The sequence below is a fragment of the Homo sapiens genome, chromosome 5 (assembly GCF_000001405.40).
Source record: "Homo sapiens chromosome 5, GRCh38.p14 Primary Assembly".
NCBI classification, from domain to species: domain Eukaryota; kingdom Metazoa; phylum Chordata; class Mammalia; order Primates; family Hominidae; genus Homo; species Homo sapiens.
In genome coordinates, this window is record NC_000005.10 from 7,514,377 (window position 1) to 7,538,032 (window position 23,656).

General features: G+C 41.5%; 1 protein-coding gene across 5 annotated transcripts in view, besides 2 other annotated features; it reads left to right on the forward strand.

Annotated features, from left to right (window-relative positions):
- Positions 1-23,656, forward strand: part of ADCY2 (adenylate cyclase 2) — a 433,944-nt gene that overhangs the window by 118,239 nt on the left and 292,049 nt on the right. For all 5 annotated transcript variants that reach the window (NM_020546.3, XM_011513942.3, XM_047416645.1 and 2 more), the window contains exon 3: positions 6,362-6,523. In NM_020546.3, the coding sequence (NP_065433.2) occupies positions 6,362-6,523 (162 nt within the window). The remainder of the gene's footprint in view (positions 1-6,361; positions 6,524-23,656) is intronic.
- Positions 860-1,360: an enhancer, noted in NCBI's record as "H3K4me1 hESC enhancer chr5:7515349-7515849 (GRCh37/hg19 assembly coordinates)". NCBI's record gives its function as "activates a minimal SCP1, AML or CMV promoter by ChIP-STARR-seq in primed H9 embryonic stem cells {active_cell/tissue: H9 hESC(primed)}" and the evidence as "EXISTENCE:reporter gene assay evidence [ECO:0000049][PMID:30033119]".
- Positions 11,716-12,215: an enhancer, noted in NCBI's record as "H3K4me1 hESC enhancer chr5:7526205-7526704 (GRCh37/hg19 assembly coordinates)". NCBI's record gives its function as "activates a minimal SCP1, AML or CMV promoter by ChIP-STARR-seq in primed H9 embryonic stem cells {active_cell/tissue: H9 hESC(primed)}" and the evidence as "EXISTENCE:reporter gene assay evidence [ECO:0000049][PMID:30033119]".

Consider the following 23,656-nt stretch of genomic DNA (forward strand, 5'->3'; position numbering starts at 1 on the left):
ATTTCTATCAAATTAGTTTGGATTTATAAATTGTAAGTAACCTTGATATTATAGACACTTGCCTTTCATGTCTGACTCAGGAATGGAACATGGGATGTGAAGTGGGCAGAAAATACTTGAGATCTAAACCCTGGTTTGCTTACAGCATAAACCTGATGTTATGGGTTGAATTGTGTTCTCCAAGAAACATATATTGAAGTCCTAATCCGCAGTACTTGTGAATGTGACCCTTATTTGAAAATAGGGTCTTTGCAGATGTCATCAGGTTAAGATGAAGTCATACTGGATTTAGGATCAGTCCCAAATCCAATGACTGGGGTCTTTATAGCAAGAGGGAAATTTGGACAGAGATACACGGAGAAGAGAACGCTGTGCAGAGGCACAGACACATGGGAGCAAGGCCATGTAAGATGGCAGTGGAGTGATCAGAGGTTGCTCAGGATTGCTGGGAGCCACCAGAATCTGCAATAGATTCTTCCTCAAAGCCTCCAGGAGGAACAAACCCTGCTGACACCTTGATTTTAAATTTTTAGCCTCCCAACTGTGAGAGAAAAATTTTTTATTGTTTAAAGCCACCCACTTTGTGATAATTTGTTACATCAGCCTCAAGAAGCTAATGCACTTGACACATGATCTGAAGAAGCCATGAAATCATTGGAGCAGCTCGTCTTCCAAGTCCTATGCTTTCTGCAGCCTGCCTTTGAAGAGATGGATTAAATGGTCCCTTCCACTCTACCTTTGTTCGGCTGCACAATTATGCCACTGCCTTTTAAAAAATTCAGCTCAGAATCTCATTAGCACAAGGAGCTCTTACTGCACACTCACCCAGGGGGTTATGCCCACCCTCCAGAAAGAAGATGAGCTTGAGCTTGGCTCCACAAAAGAGCTTTCTTCATGAAAAAGTGGTGACAGTGTTCATGTTCTCCTTGCCTAGTGAGTTTTTGTTGTATCAAACTCTTCAAAAATGGCCTTCTTTGGAAGATCTTATGTTTTGGGGTAGGCAGGAGCAGATGTGCTGAGTCAAGAGAGTTGAGTGGGGGATTTGCAAGGGGCCAGCTTCTCTGGGCTGAGAACACGGGCTGCCCAAACTGAGCCTGCTCCTGATTCAACCCAGTATCTGCTGTTGCCTGCCATAGGCATCTGACAAATGTCTGTCCAGTTGAGTGTTTCAGTGTAATTGATCTACTAAATAAAGAAATGGTAATTTGAAGATTAGCATGTCTATAGCTAATGGCGAGTCCAGTTGGAACAAGGAGGATGTTGGAATGTTTTTAGAGATGCATTTGGTGAGTAGATGCTAATGAGGTGGTCATGGCTTGGTTCATATTAGGATGTATAATAGTCTTTCCTGCAGACAGCAAATATTCATGAGGCATCTACCATATGTGAGGTACTGTCCTGGGCACTGGGGTCTCGGCTATGAGTGAATCAAGTTCCTGGTTTTGTCACTATGCTTACCCATGTCAAGGGAGAAAATTAACAAATAAATGGGGACTTTAAATGCTGTGAATAAGTAAAGCCAATGAAGAGGACTAGAGGGTGTGGGTGGAGGCAGGGGAGGGTTTTCCATTTTGTGCAGGTGGTCTGAGGCAAGCTACAGGAGGTTTTCATCCAAGGGAGAAACACGTGAGACCTGTGCATTCAGAATCATGCATCTGGCAGTAGAATGCTATCTGGATTAGAGAAAGGATGGTGTTGGAGCAAGGAAGAACTGAAGGAGCATTACTGCAGCAGCATTAGACAAGGGCTCCCATCCTGCCAGGAGGGAGAGCATCAGTGGGGAAATACTAGAGTCAAAGATGGTGCACCCATTGCCATGGAATATTTTGCAGCTAGTAAAAAGTAAATAATATATTTGTGATTATAGACCTGGAAAGAGGCCCATGATGTATAGTTGATTGAAAAAATGCAAATTGCAGAGTATTATATATAAAAGCACCCAATTTTTATAAATATGACATCAGTAAGACATCCCATGAGTGTGGGTGTGTGTTTCTGTAAACTTGATATCAGTCAGGACTAGTTGAACTGTGCTTAGGAATTCCGGGCTTAACATCACAAAGGACTGTCACCACTCACATGAACACAGGTTTGTGTGGGTCAGCTGAGAGACTGTGCTGCTCAGTCTGGGTCTGGGGACCCAGAATGGTAGAAGCCTCAACTCCATGTTTCCATGGTTGCCAGGGAGGCAAGAGGACATGGCTAACAGTGCATAAGATTTTAAAGTTTCCACTCGCCCCTCACCTAACTGAAATGACAATAGTGAAATGCAATTATATTACATGCCCAGAAGGAAGAAAGCAATAGTTATTTGTAAAGAGTCCTGATGGTTACCCGAGGCTTGGAGAAAGGCATGGAATGGACACGAAGGAGGAAGGGTACACACTCTGTTTCCCTTGTTTGCAGCAGGGCAAAGAGGGAAAGAGTATAGAACTCTATTTCCTAACAAACAGAAACGCCAGTAACCAGCTCAGTGAGGTCAGGATGGAGAGAAGCAGACAGACAGAGACAACCCACTGGTCTGGAATCCTAAAATGAGAAGACCCTGTTTTTGAGTGTGGCTGTGAGGAGAGAATTTTCAAAGGTGACTTTCAAGGATTTGCATCTGGGTTTTTGGAGACAGAGGCATTATGGGCAGACTTGAGTTATCCTGCAAGACAAACAGGTTTAAGAACATAAAGAAGCTCTTGGTTGATTTGAAACTTGTGGAGCTTGAGATGCAAGTAGAAGATACGTAGGAAGATAGGCATGTCTTGCAAAAGGCAAGTGCGGAGCTGGAGTTAAGAGACACACTTGAAACTTTTATTGGAATGAGTGCTGTTGCCTCAGCTATTGTGCAAACTTGGGGTTTCTGCAGAGGATCACAGGAATGAGATCCCTGGCTCTGCACTCTTTAGCCTCTGGACAGAGGTACATCTAAGGGGAATGTCATCCATGGGGAATGTCCCCATGGTAACATGGAAACCCAAGAGATAGCATTCGACTATCTGGAGCTTTTTACCCACACATTCTTTACATGTGCCAAATCCATTTTAGTTTTACATATGGCCCTATTTGAAGTTGCATTGGAAAGCAGGCTTAAAAAAAATGAGAACTCTTTGAGATTAATAAGGAGTGAAGAACATTCTCCCTATGGGACTCGAAGCTGCAGTTGAGTTTCTTCCTCCCTGTCCTGCCTGCCGAACACTCCCCAAGCACCACTAGCCAAACTCCTGAAATGCTACCACGGAAACCTCTGATTTGATTTAATGCAATTTGCGCAATTGACCCTTGAAAATTAATTTTGCCATCTCATAATGAATACTTAACAGGGACTTCTGTATTCAGAAAACTGAAGATCTATTTTCCATTTGGTTATTGTGGATAAGCCTTCCACAGACTTCCATTTCAAGGCTCAAAATATTTGCCGAAGTATATTTTAATGGAGACGGTATTAGAATTTTAAAGTTATCCAAAATTAAGCTACTCAAAAGTTATGATAATTTTAAAGAAATGCTAAAGGTTTTTGCATAGAAGCAAATATGTAATCATAAAAGAGAGGTTCTCTTTTGTAATTGTCAACTCTGGTACCTGAAATTATTCATTTAATACCTGTTGTGGGATATAAGATTTTACATAAATGTTATGTGTAGAAAAAACAGTATCTTAATCGAACATACTTTCTGTAAATTGGGAGGGCAACACAGAGATTCCAAAATAAATTTCATTTGCTCAATAAGCTATAAATACACAACAATTGATTTTCCCATTCCTAAAGAAACCTTTCTGATAGCTCAGTGGTTCTCAGTCAGATTCGTTGGAGACCTGGGAAAGGATCTGCACAGCACACCACCAGTGTGTGCTGGTGGTAGCTCTTAGTGGCTTTGGAAGATGATTTTGGGGCTAGAACTCATGCATGTTCCTTCCTTGGGAAGATGAAGTGAGGGAGGTGCCCCAGCCTGCCTGTGTAGATAGAGCATCGCTTACTACAGGTCCCTCCAAAGGCATGCCTGATATGTCTTCCCAGCCAAACTTTGCATTTTTATACATAAACGGTCTAAGACAATACTTTTTGCCTTGGTTTCACATCCCAAATATGGAATGGAACAAGTGGAATGCATATGATGCTAAATAATAATGCTTTACTGAAAAAACCTTCAGAGTCTTTATTTTTAAAGAGGTGAAAGAAAAAATATTTACCAGAAAAAAATATTGCTATGGCAATGTGTTCCCCCACAGTTTTTGGCCTGAGGGCCCTTTTAAATATAGATTGAATGGGAGGAGACGGGGGCATGAAGCAGATGGTCCATGCCCAATCTAGGCTTCCTGATGAGGATTCCGGGTCATTTTTCCCACTCACAGTGGGTTTCTCCTGGCTGTTGTCCCGAGACGGCTGGACTCAGAAGAATTAGAGAAGGTGCTCAGAGTCCACCCTGTTGTCTCCTCCCGGTGAGGGCAGGTGCCCTTCTCTCAGGACGCAGACTGTGAGATGACAGCTGCATGTATGACCATCTCTTCTGCTGGGCCCTGAGGCCCCTGAGAGCTGGGGCTCTGTCCTGCACCCTCCACCTCCAGAACCTGGCTGCATTTACAGGAGCTTCACACAGGCTTGCAGAATGAATGCTTCTTCAGGTCGGAGTGCCTTAATAAGCATTCATTCAGCAAGCCTATTCCAAAAAGCCTGGAGTGCCAAATCGAAGAGTGCCTCTTCAGGACCCACGTTTATTTTTAGGCTATGTCTCCTGAATCTTTCCTGTGCTCTTTTGTGTATGACAATTACATAAATACAGCTGATCAGACACCACCCTGGAATAGTGAAGTGGTGACAGATGGTTCTTTTCAGGTTGTAATACGTGGTGCAGATTCCCAGGAGAGAAGAAGCCTGGTTTTCTCCCAGGCTTCCCTCTTTAAATCCGTCAGGAGCCTAGCTTATTGCCCACATTCTTCTCAGGAGCTCACATCCATACTTGGTACCAGAAGCGCTGGCGTGATTGCACCACGTCCTTCCAGCTGTGCAGCGCTTGAGCGTCCCCTTCAGGTGACACAGGTCACACTGAAAGTGGGGCATGCTTTCCTTAGCTTCCCTTCTGCTTGGAGTCAAGAGCCGCATGGGAAGCTGGCCACATGTCCCATTCCCTATTTCCCTGACCTCAGTCCCTTCCAACTGGATTGTTCACCTTTCATCCTTTTTGATGTTCTTCTATCTCTGCTCCTTTTGTAATGAAAATGATCGTTTTTTATTACCTACTAAACCATTTTCTTTTTCATGCCAAACATTTCTTTGAGAGGTTTCGTGTTGATTGTTTTGATTGAGCTGAAATTCACACAACATAAATTACCCAATTTAAGTTGGCATTTCCAATGTTGTGCAACCAACACCTCATCTGGTTTCAGAGAAGTTTTCATCATCCCCGAAGGAAACCGTGCACCTAGTCAGCAGCTACTCTCCGTTCCCCAGCCAGTCCCCTTCCCCCAGCTCCTGGCAACCCCCAATCTGCTTTCCATCCCTATGGGTTTACTTATTCTGGATATTTGATGTAAAAGGAATCATACACTATGAGGTCTTTTGCCCAGATTTTATTCACTTAGCATGTTTTTGAGGTTCCCCTGTATGGTAGCATGCATTCGCATCTTACTCCATGTTAAGGCTGAACAATATTCTATTGTGTGGATATACCACATATTGTTTATTCATCCTGTGATAAACATTTGTGTTTCCACCTTGGGGTTGTTTGCTAGGAAAATGATGTTATGAAATGGGTGTACATTTATCTGTTTCAGTACGTGTTTTCAATTCTATTGGAAATATACACAGGAGTAGAACTGCTGTGTATGTTTAACTTCGAGGAATTGCCACTCTGAGTTCCCTGGCAGCTGAGCCATCCACAGGCTGTTTTATTTTGTTTGTTACATACCCGTGCTCTCGGCATCTGCTTTCACTAACTCCCCTTGATGACACCTGCCCCTCCTCCATGGGTCTCCACCCTGTCCACCCCCGTCCCCGATGATGCCTGTCCCTCCTCTGTGGGTCTCCCTTTGCAGTTTGGTAGATCACTTCAAGAATCCTCAGTGCATGTTCTAAAGCAAAGATACAGAACCCTGATAGTTTAGGACCAGCTTTGCATCCATACTCATGGAGTGGTTTGGATACCAAAGTGAAGTCCCAAAATTTTGAAAACAAACTTTTCTCCATCACAACGATTAGTCTGTTATTGTAATCCAGTGGACTTATTTGCATCGACTGCCCTATTTTGTCTATAGATTATTTCTAAAATGAGCATGTCTCATGCTGTTCTATGCAGCCTTTAGTGGCATGGAAACAGGAGGCTCTTAGAAACCAGAATATTTGGTGACTCTTATTGTTCTTCTTCTCTGCCCGTAGGTATCGTTCTTCCTCTTCATCATCTTCGTGGTGTACACCATGCTGCCCTTCAACATGCGAGACGCCATCATTGCCAGCGTCCTCACCTCCTCCTCCCACACCATCGTGCTTAGCGTCTGCCTGTCTGCAACACCGGGAGGCAAGGAGCACCTGGTCTGGCAGGTGGGTGCACCTCCACATCCATGGAGAATGACTTTCCACATCCCACCAGGGGGTGAGGCAGGTGCTGCTGGCCCATTCAGGGTGTGTGTAGTGTGGTACCTGCAGCTGTTCCCTTTCTGCCCCTTGAGACTGACCCCCTATAACACTGAGGAGCCAGCCCCACTCCACTGCCATTGGTGGGATCAACAGTCACTTAGCAATTAGCAACTGTAAAAGTAATGGTAGCAGGAAAGTTGGATGTGACAATTCTATTTTGTGATTGCTGAATGGTGGTATGATTTTGATGGTCAAAAGGTGTTCTTATATGTTATAATTCAATACTCATTTTTATAGTGAAGTAACTTATACGATTAATTTCATAGTTTGTTCCCACCTTTGCTCTACCTTGATATTCAAAACCCTCTTTACAAAGATAAAAATTTTCTTTATTTTAAAATTTTCTATCAGGTCTATGAGCATTAAAAAAAAAGTAATTCTTTAAAATGGTACAACAACAAATTTTTCCTTACTAATAAATAGCATTTCAAAGAAGCCATTCTATTTAATTAGTTACAAGCATTTTAAACGCTGTTTGATTTCTAATTATGTACACCTATAAACATGAGGATGATTTGGAGTTATTCCTAACATTCTCTGTTTTACCTATTAAAAGTGCATTTAATTTGCTCTGTGGAGATCAACTGCAGCAAATGCAGCCATGACATAAAATGCAGTGGGGCTGAGAAAATTGCAGTTGTGACAACACTGTGCCATTCTAAAGGAACTTTAGGCATAGGTCACCTAAGCCCTGCTGGGTCTGAGAAACCAGTTTTTCTTTCACGTGATGTGCTATTTCATTTGGAAACTTGAGGTGGAAGTGAAGGCTCACTCTTGAGTCTATAGTAGTCTCTCTCAGTTGGAAAGCTTTCTGCGGATCACTTTTTTCAATGCTCATCTCCTACTGCTTATCACATCACATTCATTAAGAGTAGCCAGGAAAACCTGCATTCATTAAGCATCCTGTATCCACACTGACTGTAGAGGCAGTGGCCTCTAATTTTACACAGTGGGCTAGAGTTTCACCCTGGCTTGTTTGGATATTACTAAGAAGCATCCACTCCCAGGAAGAGGAGGAAGGCCATATGGCTCCTCTCTGCATTGCCTTTGACACATGCTAGGAACCTGCACCACCTGAGACAGACAGAGGCCAGCCAGTAACTAATCCAATGAGAGAATGAAGGTGGGTGTTTTATGTTTATTTTATAATATTTAAATGACAAATTAAGGTGGTATGTATTCAAGGTGTGCAACATTACGGTTTGCTATATGTATGCATTGTGTAATGGTTGTCACATTTAGATTAATGAACACATCCATCACCACCCATGCTGTACATTACATCCCCAGCACTTATTCATCTTATCACAGAAAGTGTGTATCCTTTGACCAACTTTTCCCCATTTTCCCCAACCCCTAGCCCCTGGAAACCACCCTTCTACTCAAAAGAACAATCTAGCCTTGCCTGGGATGAAGTGCAAGAAACACTCCTGTGGATACAATCTCTACCCCAGCCTTCACTTCCTGTTTCTGCACTTCAGAGCCTCTCCTGTGGGGCATTTCTCCTTTCTCCTATAAGTTCCACTCTTCCATCTTCTCGTTTATTTGAGCTGTTAAGCTCAACATTAGGTGTTCACATATGGGTCAGGGTGGTGAGCATGTTTTTGCAGTAGAAATGAGAAAACAGCTGGGCACGGTGGCTCACGCCTGTAATCCCAGCATTTTGGGAGGCCGAGGCAGGCGGATCACAAGGTCAGGAGATCAAGACCATCCTGGCTAACACGGTGAAACCCCATCTCTACTTAAAAAAAAAAAAAAAAAAAAAAAAAAAAAAAAAAAAATTAGCCGGGCGTGGTGGTGGGCGCCTGTAGTCCCAGCTACTCGGGAGTCTGAGGCAGCAGAATGGCGTGAACCCAGGAGGCGGAGCTTGCAGTGAGCCGAGATCGCGCCACTGCACTCCAGCCTGGGCGACTGAGCAAAACTCCGTCTCAAAAAAAAAACAAAAAAAAACAAAGAAATGAGAAAACAATTTGCTCAGCCACTGTGGGAAATCCCTTCTCACATGAGCAATCAGACACTCAAACATGCCATGGCTCACAGCACCTTCACTATTTGGGGTACCCTGGAACACATCCCTTGTACTTATCCTTTCTGCTCCTTCAGGAATAAATGAAGTATCTGCTGGTGCAGATGTAATAGGACAAAAAATATTTCAGAAGAAGAGGTTTTAATACCTGTCTGTAAGAATCAAACAGGGTTAAAACAAAAAAGGGAAAAGGAAGTACTGCATGAAGAACTTTATGTATTGCAGGTCACTGAATACTGTATTCTTTATTGAGCTGGGTTTTTTGTTTAAGCATTTTTATTTTCCTGCATTGGTAAAAAAAAAAAAAAAAAGTGGGAAAGATGGAATCTTAAATTTTTATTTACTCAGTTTCAAAAACCGACAAAGAAAAATACATCTTATCAGCAAACAGCCAGAGATGCGATAATTCTAAAATAGCACCAAGAATAAAAATGCTTCACTCCATAGTATTTTATAAAGGAACAACACCCAAAAGAACAGAATAACATGAAGTCCATTTCCCATTTTCTCAGAAACAATTTCACAGTAATTCCAAGAGCTGGGAAAGGTGGAACATGCGAACAGATTTGAAATGGGAGGTTTGTAGGTAAACATCACAGTAATGAAGAAAGGAGCTTTCAGTACCCTTGGCCACTGTTGGAAATATAACCTAAAAATACCACTGGTTTGAGGTTCCAGAAAAACACTTTATTGAATTCTTTTTATGCATGGTGTATATAAATTAGAATGTTACAAATTTGGTGGTTGTATTGCTGCAGTGTAATTGTTGAATGTAACACTATGTAAAATAAGGATACTGGCCTGATATGAAGAAAGAGGTTGCCCGCAAACTATAGTCAATATCACCCTGCCTTCTAAGCCACCAAAGGAAGGAAGAGTGCATTTTGTTTCGCACAGATCCATGTTAAGAAGTTTTTGTTTCATTTTATTTCTTTGAACATTGGCAATCCACTTATAGCACGTAGAACTTATCTGTTAATCAAAATATTCACTTAAGATAAATCCATATTCTCCTTCCCTGCTGCATAAGAGAGTTCATTGTTCTCGGGAAATTCATTTTACCAGCATTTGCCTTGAAGTAGAAGGCATTCTCAGGCCATGATGTATCACCTAATTAAGGAAATTTAATTAATAACTGAAAATTATGGATGGTATTCCTTAACACATTTTCAACCTGAAGTGTAATCACTAATATATTTTGTAACTTTTGTTTTGAAACAATAACAGACTTACCAATAAGTTGCAAATAGAGTACAGAGAATTATTTTTTTTGCTAAGCCATTTAGAGGTAAGTTGCCAATCTGATGCCCCACCACCCCAAAAGCTTTAGTGTGTATTACTACAGTACCATTCTCCTACATTAACTACAAGACACCTGCAAACACTGGGAAGTCCACATTGCTCTATGACTGCTATCTGATGCCCGGACCCTGTTCAAGTTCCTCCAGCTTTCCCTACAATGTCTTTCATCACAAAAGGACCTAGCTCAGAAGCATGGCATGACACATGGCAATGTGTTCTCCAGTCTCTTTGATCTTCTACAGGATGGAACAATTCTTTAGTGGTTCTTTGGCCCTATGATCCTAACACTTTTGAAGATTGCAGGACCGTTATTTTGTAATATGTCTTTCAACTTGAGTTTGTCTGATGCTTCCTCATGAATAGATTCCGGTTCTGCATCTTTGGCAAGAATCACAGAGCGGTGGTGGGTGCATCCTCCCGGAGCGCAATCAGGGCTGTGTTGCTTCTCTTTGTCTCCTTACCTATGGTGTTCACTTGTATGATGGCTCTGTCCATCCAACTCTTTCACATAGAAATTACTCTTTTCCTCTTTATAATTAAGACATATTTTGTGGAAAGGCACTTTGAAACTAGGCATCTAACTTGTTTCAATTTATTTATTTATTCATATCTATACAGTCTTGTATTTTCCTATTTTATTAAATCAATTATACACCATTAGCATCACTATTTTATTTATTTATTTATTTATTTTTTAGAGATGGAGTCTCGCTCTGTCACCCAGGCTGGAGTGCAGTGGTGTAATCTCGGCCTGCTGCAACCTCCACCTCCCGAGTTCAAGCAATTCTCCTGTCTCAGCCTCCCAAGTCGCTGGGACTACAGGCACACGCTGCCATGCCTGGCTAATTTCTTTTTTGTATTTTAGTGGAGACAGGGTTTCACCATGTTGCCCAGGCTGGTCTCGAACTCCTGAGCTCAGGCAATCCGCCAGCCTTGGCCTTCCAAAGTGCTAGGATTACAGGCATGAGCCACTGCGCTTGGCCACCATCGCTATTTATTTTGATGTCCACATTGTCTCTGGTTTGTGCAGTGGGCGCCTCTTCAAGCTGGCCTCTGTGTCCTCTTGACACATTCCCACCATCTTTGGAGCCCTTTCCTGCTTTCTAGTGGAACAAGATCTTTCTGGCTGATCTTATTCCTGTCTGCTCCAGGCCTAAAATCAACCCTCTCTGATTTTAGGGTCCTGATTCTGATGAAAGAATCGGGAGCCCTGACTTTTTTTCTTTTTCTTTTTTTTTAGTGAACAGCATTTAGAGGCATGATCTAGGCATTAGGTGTTGGGTGTCACTGCACCAAGGTGAGGCCCACACACATTTACATCTACATTATAGATGTGTGTGTGTGTGTGTGTGTGTGTTTGTATATACTAATAGTCATGACTTCTCAAGGACATTTCCACTTCCAAGCAACCATAGGTTTCACTCCAGTTTTTGCCCTTTCAATTGCAGCTCCCTTGATCAACCGTAAAAAATACCTAGCTTCCATGATTTATGATAGATTTCCTTTATTGGACCAATTCGTGTCTGTAACCAGCCTCCTGTTTCTACTGCCATCCCCTCCTCATGCACAGATGCCTCCTCCCTTGGCTCCTGCTCTGATCCCTGTACCCAGCTTGTCCCCTGCAAGCATGTTCCCCTCCCTTGCCCAGGCTCTGACACCCCACACATGTGTGGATCCCCTCCCCTGTCCCAGCTCTGATACCCCTTGCGTGTGTGGCTGCCCCTCACCTGGGTGTCCTCTTCCCTGTCCCAGCTCTGACACCCACGCATGTGGGGCTGCCCCGTGCCTAGGTGTCCCCTCCTCTGCTCAGGCTCTGTCCTCCTGCGGTTGGCTTTCCCATTCTGGATGCACCTCACACACAGCTTTGTCATCTTTGGATGAATTTGGCCTCCCCCATCCACTGCTGGTGCAGATGCTTCCTTACGGGGCCTTGTCTGATGGCTTTAGGGCTGAATCATGCAGGAAGGAAGGAGAAGGACAAGAAGAAAAGGGAAGGCTGGGAAGGGAAGCGGGTGGTAAAATTGGTTCACAAGTACAAAAATGCAGGTAGAGAGAAGGATAATTTCCAGTGTTCGGTAGTATGGTAGGGAAATTATAGTTTACAACAATTCATTATATATTTCAAAATAGTTAGTAGAGAAGAATTGTAATGTTCCCAACACAAAGGAAGGATTAAGGTTGGAGGTGAGGGCTACCTTAAGTACCCTGATTTAATCATTACACCTTGTAAACAAGTATCGAAATATCATATATACCCCCAAAATATGTGCAACTATTATATATCAATAAAGAAAAAAAGGGAGAAAAGGTAGAACAAGAAAGAGAACTAACACATTTTGAACACAGCAATTATTAGTGAAAGAGGAAGAGATATTTTTCAGCCACTCTCTGATTTATTTCATACTGTTCTCTGCAAGTTTTTTAAATAATTGTTTTTTCTTTGTTATACTAACTGAATTTCGAAGAAACATTTTTCTGGAATCTGGGATTATGAAGACATGCTGGAATCCCTTAATGATGAAGGGAAGACAATATTTAATTATCAGAAAACTTAAAGAGAAGCAGTTTTATATTATCCACGTTAAGAATATATCATTTCTATATGATACATCTAGCGTAAAAACCAAAAGCCCTTAGTAAATTCATGATTAAGTAGAAAATAAAAATTTTACTTATATCATAGGATAACATGCATTTGACTGTAAGTTCCATGATAGAAGCAAGGAGTCTTTTTTGCTTACCATCATATCAAGGCAAAGGGAAATTGGGACTAGGAAAAGAAGATGTGAAACCCTTCTCTCCACCCACCTCATGTTGTGGTGGCTGCCTCCTGCCTGGTCCCCAGGGGTGGTGGCAGTGGTGTGGCCCTCAGAGGATATCAGAGGCTGGGATCATGCCTTCCAGCCAGGCTCAGTGGGTCCAAAGGTCAGGAGCCTTGGTCCAGCCCAAAGCTTGTGCGTGTTTAGTGCTTATTTCATCGTACATATACATCGTGCCTGTTCTTCATTTGCTGTACTTTTGTAGGTTAGTATCACTGTTGGCATAATAATGAGCCAACCTCAAGGAATTTCCATATATTCCTATGTATACATCATGATTGCACTTTGTATTTGAAACTCACTTTTCTTACACTTTTATTTCCTTGGTATTCATAGCACGTTCTGAATTTTCGTTTCATATATCTTTTATTTTCCCTTGAGAGGGAGGATAATTTGAATATAGATTTACTTAAGCAAGCCAGTTATGCAAGAATCCATATTTATTAAAGAAGCAAAGCTAAGGAGTGCTTATTGATTTTATAACAGGATTACTTATATGTTAGATAAATTTTATAGGATGTGTTTACACTGTGGATGCTTTAATATATTTAAGTTGTGATACAATTTGAAAAATTTTAGATTGCACCTAATACAGCAAATCATCTATGCCAAGTGTGTAATCAATAGCAATGTGGATTTGTTATGTAACTGAGTCTTTTTAAGTATAATTCAGAAAGTGTATATTGGAGTCTGGAATTAAATTGCATTTAGGATCTAATCTGAGAAGCTCAAAGGAAAAACAGCAGGTTACCAGCTGCCCGGTTTCTGGCTGTGGGAGAGACTAATTGTTAGGAATTTGGATCTCTGTTCTGACTGTTTGTCTTCAGGGAACATAGGGTATTAATTTTTTTCCACAGGAAAAGAAAAAGGAGACTGTACCATTGTCCATTCTGTATAGCATGAAGCTATTGATTGAGTAGAATCCATCTCTTAGGTTTCGCAAGCCATTGCTTACCTCTTTCAAAGGCATTAAAATTGGAAGGAATGGGAGTAAGGATTGGGAGGAGCTAAAAATAGGAAAGTGCCTAAGGTGACTAAATCCTAAAGCAAATCTAAATGCATTTCTCACCCTGCTTTCCTTTCTCCTCCCTGGTCCCTTCCCAGGCCTGACACCTATACCTTGGTAGAGTTTTGGTAGGGCCAGTGAACAAAACACCAGCATTAACATTTAATGCAGGACATCAGACTTTAAAAATGCAATGGCAATTTCTAGAACAAAAATACAAGAAAGTTAGAGACATGGAACTTTCATGTTGGTAACTAACAATTTGACTGTAATGGTAGAATGAGACCTAGGTTCATTTTCAGCATTTTGGAGCTGTTTTGTGGAGGGCATTGGGAGAACAGAGGTACAGGGAAGCCCTATCATAACATGAATTTCTCTTGGAGATTTGATCAAAGGAGCATAAAAAAGAAGAATTTATTTAAAAATAAAAAGTGACAGCCATCCATTAACTGTCTCTATCCTCTTCTTGATTCCATCATCTGTACCCTGTATTCTGTTTATTCTAAGCAATGGGTTTATGTCGAATATGATACTTTAAGTTGATTAAATGTTGGCTAGAGGCACCACTCACTAATGTTTCACTTGGCATCTTGGCAGTGATTTTTCTCTTAATTTCCCCAATCCGTGCATGTTTGATCCATTACTTACAAAGATAACGAGGCTCTGCTCATTCCAAATGTTTGTTTTTTAGGGAGGGGGTAGTTTGTGAAAGATACTAATTCTAGGCATCTATTAAACCACCAGTAATCAATCTTTGAAACCGTGTAAGACAATGAGAAAATCAGCATCCCCAATGAGAGTCACACAGGACAGACTCCTCCTATGTTCTTGCAGCACAGAATGAGGAATCTGCTAAGTTATATGAACTGAAGAGAATCATATATCTGTAGCTTGACTTCAACAAGAGCACTGCTCCGGTTCTAAGAGATTCTCTTTAAAGAGTAAGGAGAAACCCAGTGAGTTGGTGCCATGGAAGGAGGATGTACACATCATCACTTGGAGACAGTCCAGGGAGAGACAGAGCTGGGCTGATCCTAGTTATCTGTAAAACAGAAATGATTATCATGGCCTCTTCCTAGGGCAGCAGGAATGAGGACTTAATGAAAAGGACTTAAGTGGGCCAGGTGCATAGTTAGTGCTCAGAAGCATCAGGTATTAAAAATAATAACTACTGGATGGTAGGCCACAACATTATTATGTTTTCAGGGTGCAACAAGCTGGGCAGGCTGGGAGCAGAGGGAGGGGATGTGCTTTCTGTTTTTGCAGCAATAATCACAGCATGCTTTCTTTGAGAATAATGTGCATCAATTTTTACCTTTCCTAGGAGATGAGAGATCCCAATGGCCAGACTCTGGGCTAGTTATTTTTGAAACCCCTCTCAGCATCTCGTGAATGTCTGGACATGGAAGCGAATGTGAGAGGGTGGGAAGAGCAAGCATTTTGGCCTCAGGCAGAATCTGGGTTGGCCTCTGCTTCTCCTACTTCACAGCTGTCTGCAGTGAAGTAGATGTCCCAGGTACCCCTCAAGTAAACATTGGCTTCCTGGCCATTGAGAGTGTTGTCTGCAGCTGGCTTTCAGCCATCAGCTTCTTTGGGGAATGCTTGAAAACACCTGCCAGCCTGAGGTTGTGCCCTTGTGAGGGTGGCCCACATCCATGACTGATAGAGTTGAGGGTATAAACTCCTTCCATTTTGATCAATTGCAGGCAATTCTGACAGCCGTTTCAGTTCCAGGGTGTCTGTGAGTTTGCTAGTTGTTGGACTTGCATAGCAGGTTAGCTTCTCCCTGTGCCCAGCACCACTTCTGTCTTTCCCTACAGGAACTGATCCTGAGGGCACTCCCTAATAAACACAACCTCATTTCAGAATCTGCTTCCTGGAGAACCCAAGCTGCAACACTGCATGAGCTTAGCCTAATTATTTAGCTTGCTCAGTTTTCCAATCTGTAAAATGGCAGCAGCAATGGCCAACCTCCTTGTTTGGTTGCTGGCCTTGGTGCTGATTAGATGTGATGACCTCTAAAAAGAACCTGGAATCAAGCTAATCTGGTGCTTAGCCATCAATGAGTAGTAGGCAGCAGCAGCAGCAGTAATGTATTTTGCTAAATTTGCATAATTTTAGATAAGCTTTTAGAAATGGTGTAAAAATGCTTTGGGAAATATGTTCCTAATCAAAACCCAAATGACCTATGAATTGAGTAAGGCAAGAGTTGGATCATACATGTGTAAGACTGTCAGAGCCCAAGTCTGGTTCTGATTGACTGCCCTGACACTCAGGCTGGAAGACAATGGCATGATCATAGCTCACTGCAGTCTTGAACTCCTGGCCTCAAGCGATCCTCCCAGCTTGGCCTCCCAAAGGAGGAATCTTGGCTGGGATTGTAGGTATGACCCACTGCCGCGAAGCTGTTTTAAATGACACATCTCAGAGCCAAGTCTCCCAGCCCCAGTACCTCATCCAGATATAACCATCTATCCAAAAAACAACTCTGATCACTTCACTCTCTGCCTGAAATTCCTGGTGGCTTCATCCTCTGAGGATGATTTCATTCATCCTCAGAATGAAATCCTGGTTCCTCTGTGGACCCTTCAGTAGCCTCGATGTACCTTCCTAGCCTTGTCTTCTATTCTCCCTGCCATGGGAGCCCCAACAGTGCCATGCTCGTTCTCATCTCCACGTATTTACACATGCTGTACCCTCTGCCCAGAGTGCCTTTCCTACCCCTTCCCTGCCTGGCAAACTCCTATTCAACCCTCAGGACCTGGTTCACAGGAATGGCTTCTCAGGTCGCAAGGAGCTCCCATAGGACCCCATACATGTACAAATATCCCTCAGTCATGGCTGAACTTCATCCTAGCAAGATACTGGAAGCCTACGCTACACTGATGAGTGCAGTTAGAAAGTTCTGCTAATGCCTGAGGGTCTGAGCTCCTGAAGGTTAATGGAATAGCAGCCTTTGAAAACCCTTGAGACACAGTTCCTCAAATCACTCCTTGGCATAAGTAAGAGGGAAAAATACAAGAGTAGGCATATAGAGAGCTGGTTATCTTAGATTATCATGCCACTCTTTGTCTAGAGTGTTTTGTTTCTTAGAGAAGCCCACTTCTGCTACCCAGGCGACCTGGAGGGCCGCCGTTTTCCTCTAACTCTGACCAGCTTCATGGTACCTTGATAATATGGATCCGACCATGCTACATCTAAGTTTTGTGGTCTTGAAGAAATGCACTTCTACAGCTCCATGTCTTTGAATCTCTTCGACCACCCCCCAGATGAGAAACGGTATTGGTTTCCAAGGGCTGCTCTAACAAATTACTACAAACTTGGATGCTTGAAACAACAGAGATTTATAAATTCTGACATTTATTATCTCACAGAAATCAAAACCAAGGTGTTAGCAGGGGTGGTTCCCTCTGGAGGTTATGAGGGAGACTGCTTTTATGCCTCTCTCCTAGCTTCTGGTGGCAGCCAGCAGTCCTCGGCATGCCTTTGCCTCAGTCTTCATAGGTCCTATCTATGCCCCTGTCTTCACGTGTCCTTCTTCTCTTTGTCCCTGCACTTTCCTCTCTTCTGTCTCTCATAAGGACATGATTCATTGTATTTAGGGGCCACTCTAAATCCAAGATGATCTCATTGCAGCATACTTAATTATTTCTGCAAAGACCTTATTCCAAAAGAGTCATATTTTGAGGTTTCCAGTGGACATAACTTTTGAGCGAGTCTACTTTTCAACCCAACACGGATACTAACACCCACAGTTGGACTGCACTTGTACTTCTTTCCCTCCATGGGTTATTGCAGACTGTTCCATGTATTCTTTAAGGCCAGAGAGTCTGTGGGGTTTCCCTTCTCTTGCCTGCTTAGGCATTACTAAGCTCTGTAGTGTACAACATATGAAGATAGCTTCTTGGTAAGTATTTATGGTAACATAGGAAAATAAAGCAAAACTACAAAAATTCAGAGTGAAGAAACATATGGGAATTTCACCCTTGTTGAAACAAAACTATCATCCATAGAGCAAACAGAGAAAGTGTTCTTGCCGGACGATTGCAGATAGGTAAGGCAACTGAACTTCTATTCTTGATACTCCTTGCCTAGTTTACAAACAGGTGATATGTTCACATTAAAGAGAAAGAAAGAGAGAGAGAGTTTCATAGGATTTTCAGTGCATACACTTTTCCTCTAGCCACTTGTGAGTTCTCTCATTGTTTGTAGAAGTTTTTCATTTGATCCCCTTAGGTTTTCCGGGTAAGTAGTCATGTCATTTTCAAGTAGATTTCCACTTTACATATTTTAAAACTTTCTTCTCTTTCCAACTGCTTTGCCTTGTTCCTCCAGGAAGAAAAGAATTATCAAGGCAGTCATAGTAGACACATTTGTCTAATTTTTTATTTAGTAGGACTAATGTTTTCCCTTTAAGCTTTCTCCTAGCTTTTGGGTTAGGTTAATTAAGTGTTATACTGCGAAGGAAGTAGCCATTGGTTCTTATTTAGGGACTCCTTTGTTTTTGTTTTTGTTTTTTTAAGTGTAAATCTAGAACTGTATCAAAAGACTTTTTAAAACAAATCATTCGTGGACAAGACTGTATGATTTCTCTCCTTTTGTAATGTGGGACAATTCTTGGATTTTCAGAATTCTCCTCAATAGGTCATGTTGTGTTTTTCTTTAATTCGTGGCTTGATCCTTTTGAGCAATAACTCAATAAGGATTTTGCACATATCTCAATAATAATAATAACAAACACTTATGCAGCTCTGGCCATGGGTCAGAGATGATTCTGAGTGCTTTATTCATGAGCTTCTTTAATCTCAAATGTTTTTATATACACATTTATATGTAAATATGTGTATATAAACATTTGATATGTATACATATATATGTATATATGTATATAAACATTTGATATATATACATTTGATATATACATATATAAACATATATGTATATATACATGTATATATACACATATATACATATATGCATATACACACTATATTAAATATTGTTTTCTATTTTTCCTGTGAAAATATTTCTGTTTAGACTTACTTTCTCTTCAGGACGTTGTTTTTGTCAAAGATATTTTCATATAAATGCAGTCTCTTTCATTCAAGGTTTAAATTGTATTTCATAAAGTTGAGTAATCTCTTCTCAATGTTAATTCCCTCTGTATTTGCGCTTGATTTTGCCTGGTTAGTTTCTTATTTTTGGGATTTGCTCTTTCTCCATTGATTCATGATTCATCTGGCTGATGATTTGTTTGTTTTACTTTATTTCTTCAAGAAATGAATTTGGGATATATTTATTATTTTTATTGTTTTACCATTTTTATCTTGATTTTTTAATTAATGTTTTCATTTTGGTTCTCTTTTGTTCTGTATTTCTAACATCTTAGGTTAGATGCTTAACACACATTTTTTTCTCTCCCATTTATTTACATAAATATTGTGGCTATACATTTTTCTTCAAAAATAGCTCTCCCTCTATGTGTCTGATGAGCTCATTATCATTATTTTCTATATATTTTGCTAATTTGGTTGGGATTTACTTTTGACATAAAGAAACCTGTATTTTATTTTCAGGCAATAGGAGATTTATTTTCTGTTTTTATTATTAATTTTAGTTTTACTGCATCAAGATTAGAAATTGTCTATGTCCTTTCTTTTTGTCAATGTGTTCTTATCATATGAACTACATGTTGGTATGACCGTTGCTGCTTATTTTCACCATTAGCACCAGAACTTAGTGAGCATTTATTGTGTGTAAATCCCCATATCACATGGTGCTCATCAGTCCTAGTGGTTCCCATAGCCAATGGAGATGCTGACTGTGGGATCTTCATGCTGCTGAGATAGACTGTCTCCTGCAGATATTCCTTGATAATGTCATTTTCTCTGGAGTCCAGCCTCCTGAGTCTCCTGAATCCAGCAGGGGCTCCTGCCAGCGTTCATACCATTGTCAACTCATTGACTTGGCTTTCCTACCTCTGGGCAGGCCCCTCACTTTGGACAAGCACATCTCTGCTCCCTACTGACACCTGCCTTCTAATCTGTGTTCTCTTCTAGTGTCTTTTCTTGGCTTCTACTCCTGGGCACTGCTAGCTTTTGGTAGCCATCACACCCATGCTGGTGGCTGAGGGTTCTGTCAATTATGTAATGTTGTTGGAAACATAAATTGCATGCATGTTTCTCATTCTCTTTCGTGTTCTGAATAATTCCCACATGGAGAAGAGGAAATGTTGTCTTTGTGTGTTTAACTGGAAATGGTTTTTAACCTTTTCTTTAGTTTCTTAAAAATTTATTTTTTATGCCATGTCTGAACCTCAAACTCTAGACCGAGATATTAAACATAAGATGAGGGAGGGATGAAGAAAAGCAAAGATAAAGAGAGTGAGCAGAGTTTTATCATAATTTAAGATACTTTTCTAAGATCTCTAGCCATTGGCTGGTTTATCTGGTTTAGTAGAAGTTTAGCAGGTTTGAGTCTCAGCGTTGTTTTAAGGACTCATGCAGCTCAGCCTGATGTTCTAATCCCTGGGCATTCCTGCTTTCTTTTCCTCTTTTGAATTGCATCTGCCAGAAGACAGACCTGTTTCTGGGCAGACGAGAAGCAGAGCTAAGGCAGTGTGGCGGTGTCAGTGTCCCTGGACTTAAGTGGCCAGTGGTAAATCACTGATCAGAAGATAAAGGTTGATGTGGTGGGGGCCTCCCCCTGTTATATTCCTGCTGTAACCTGCTCTTGGTTATTATTAGTTTCTACAGGACCCCTCGTATCATAGTCATATCATATTTCACTCTGCTTATTTCTATGTGTTTCCCACCTCTCCTTCTGTTGCACATTCCCTGGGCCTTGAGATGAGCTTCTGAGATCTTTGGCAGAAACCAAAGCTTTGCTTTTGTTTGTTTGTTTGTTTTGGAGATGGAGTTTTGCTTTTGTCACCCAGGCTAGAGTGCAATGGCGCAATCACGGCTCACCGCAACCTCCGCCTCTCAGGTACAAGTGATTCTCCTGCCTCAGCCTCCTGAGTAGCTGGGATTATAGGCACCTGCCACCACGCCCAGCTAATTTTTTTGTATTATTAATAGAGACGGGGTTTCACCATGTTGGCCAGGCTGGTCTTGAACTCCTGACCTCAGGTGATACACCCGCCTTGGCCTCCCGAAGTGACCAAAGCTTTATAACAGTTTTATTTGCAGTGAGTACACATAGTATTAAATGGATGCATGATTGACTAAATCTAGAGTGTTTGAATAAATGCATCACTCTAATGCATGATCAAATGTAGACAAATAAAAAGCCTCTAGGTGTCTTCAGAATCTCCAAACCAGGGCAATAATAGGCAGTTCTTTCTTGTTGCATTCACCATCTCCAAGCATGACAGCTAAATGTAAAGTAGCTGAGTTAGTGGCATCCTTTAAAGGTAATCATGAAAAATGACCACGCTTCCGGCATCCTCAAACTTTGATGTTATTCTCTTGTTTTCTTCAAGATGAGTCAGATCCATACATGGATTTACATCTCTTTCTGAGCTCTTCACATTTATAGTATTATAGAAGGATTGGAGGGAGGATACGAAGGTGATTGAAACAATAAGAAATCGGATATGCAAAGAGAAGTTCAAAGATCTGGGATTTCTTGTCACTGGCAGAAAAATGAGCTAAGTTTGAACTGTTGCTAATGATATTAACATGACCCATAGAAAGTATCGTGGCTGGTGTGTGATTCCAAGCAGCCCCCGCGATGTTTGTCTCTGGAACAATAGAGATCACCTAACTTTAGCTATTTAACCAGTCAGAGAAGGTCGCCATTTTGATTTCCTATTAATATGGAATAAAAGGCATTTTCAAAAATACTATAGGAGATGCTGAGGGCATTAATTGGAAGTAAACTGTCCTACATCTAGCTCAAGAAGTTTTGTCAGTGCAGTATTTTACTGCTGCAAGCTGTGGCTTATAAAACTCTGATGTAAGGCTTATTAACAGGTTGAAGACTGTGTTTCCTGATTTAGTACAAAGGAGTTTCTCTGAGGCAAAGCTGGGCTTTCTTCTGGCCAATCCTCCAGACTTTCCCTGCTGAAGATTATCCAGACCTTTATGGGGTGGAAGTCCTATATTGCAGACATGGGGGTGCCCCCAGTGGAACACATTTCCACCCTCAGACCAATCGTGTAGGGCAGATTTGGCCATTACAGTACTGGAGATGATAGTCGTTTAGACAGGGGTGGATGGATCCCAGCCAAGAACAAGAGGCGACTTGAAACTCTCACCTGTGCAGGTGGAGTGCACCACTCGTCACTGTCATCCCCCCCACATGCCCCAGAGTCGGTTCAGGAACAGTGGGGTCAGTTGATTCTCACCTTGATTGATTGCCTCCCTTGAAGAATTTTCTCAGATGACTTTAGGAACTGGGATCTTACCCATGCAATACCTCAATATATCATTGCAAATTAGTTTCCCAACATTTTTAGTTCTTTTTGTTGCTTGATCTTCTGTATATCAAAACCCATTCTAGATTTTTGACTCAGCTGGAGTTTACCTTTACCTACTTACCTAGCAGTGTTTTTCATTCTCAGCGAACTATCACAGAAAACCAAACACCACATGTTCTCACTCATAAGTGGGAGTCGAACAAGGAGAACACAGGGACACAGGGAGGGGAACATCACACACCGGGGCTTGTCAGGGGGTGGGGGGCTAGGGGAGGGATAGCATTAGGAGAAATACCTAATGTAGGTGATGGGTTGATGGGTGCAGGAATAGTTTTTTTCTTATAAATAAGGTTTCACGTTGATCTAACATATTTAGAGTAAGAACAGTCATTTCTAATCAAAATTTGACTTAAAGTAATCAATAAATCACAGTTATTTACTGTCTTTAATTCTGTATATCCTATAGAAATAAAAGAATTTTGTGGATTTTGATTAAAAGTCTCACTGACTGTGTAGAAATTTTATTCTGGTTTTAGATTCTTATAGGAAATCTTACAAACTATTTTGAACTTACATTTTGGACCAATTTAAAATTCTCATTTCTTATTTACTATGTTTTAAAATCTAATATTCATAACATCTGCAAAGTAAAAACATTTCCATTTAATTACAGGACTTTTGATTTATACATAATTTAAAATTCATTTTTATTCCTGGCTCCAGGTTTCAATACATGTTTGTCTTAAGTGTTAGAAAACTCATTGTCTCCACTTCAGTGTCCCATAAGCTTTCAAATTAAGCATTTCCCAAAGTCAACTCAGTATTTTCCTGCTCAAGTGTCCTCTGTCTCTGTAGATGGCACCACCATCCTCTGTACTTCCCAGCCTTTCAATGGAGACCCACTTGTCGCCTCCTCCATCACACTCACCCCTCCATCTTGTTAGGCACCAGATTCTGTTTATTGCACATTCTTTGCTGTCCTCCCAAGTCACTTTCCTGCTATTCATCCTCTGCCTCTGCCCTGGGTCAGAATGCATCACTTACTGCCTGGGGAGCTGCGGGAACCCCCAGCCTCATCCTTTGCTTTCCAGGTGCTCATTCTAAAACTCAAGTCTGCCTTTAGAATCCTTCAATAGCTTTCTAGTACCTGCAGAACAAAGTAGTCCACATCTCTTGGTGCGGCATGCAAGGCCCTGTAGGACATGGCCCTGCAGCCTCCACAGCCTGGCCCCTCCCTTCCCTTGCATGGATTCTGAGCTCTGCAGATGCTGGGCTCCTCACAGGGCCCTGATTGTGCTTGGCCATTCCTCTCCTCACTGTTGTTAAGTCTGTTCTATCTCCATCTGGGGCATGCCAGCACTGTCACCTGGCCAGTGCCTAGGTGTCACCCACAGAAAGTCTTTGATAGCCCACGAGCCTATCCCAGGAGCTCACATTCGAGCTCTCAGAGCAGTCATAATTC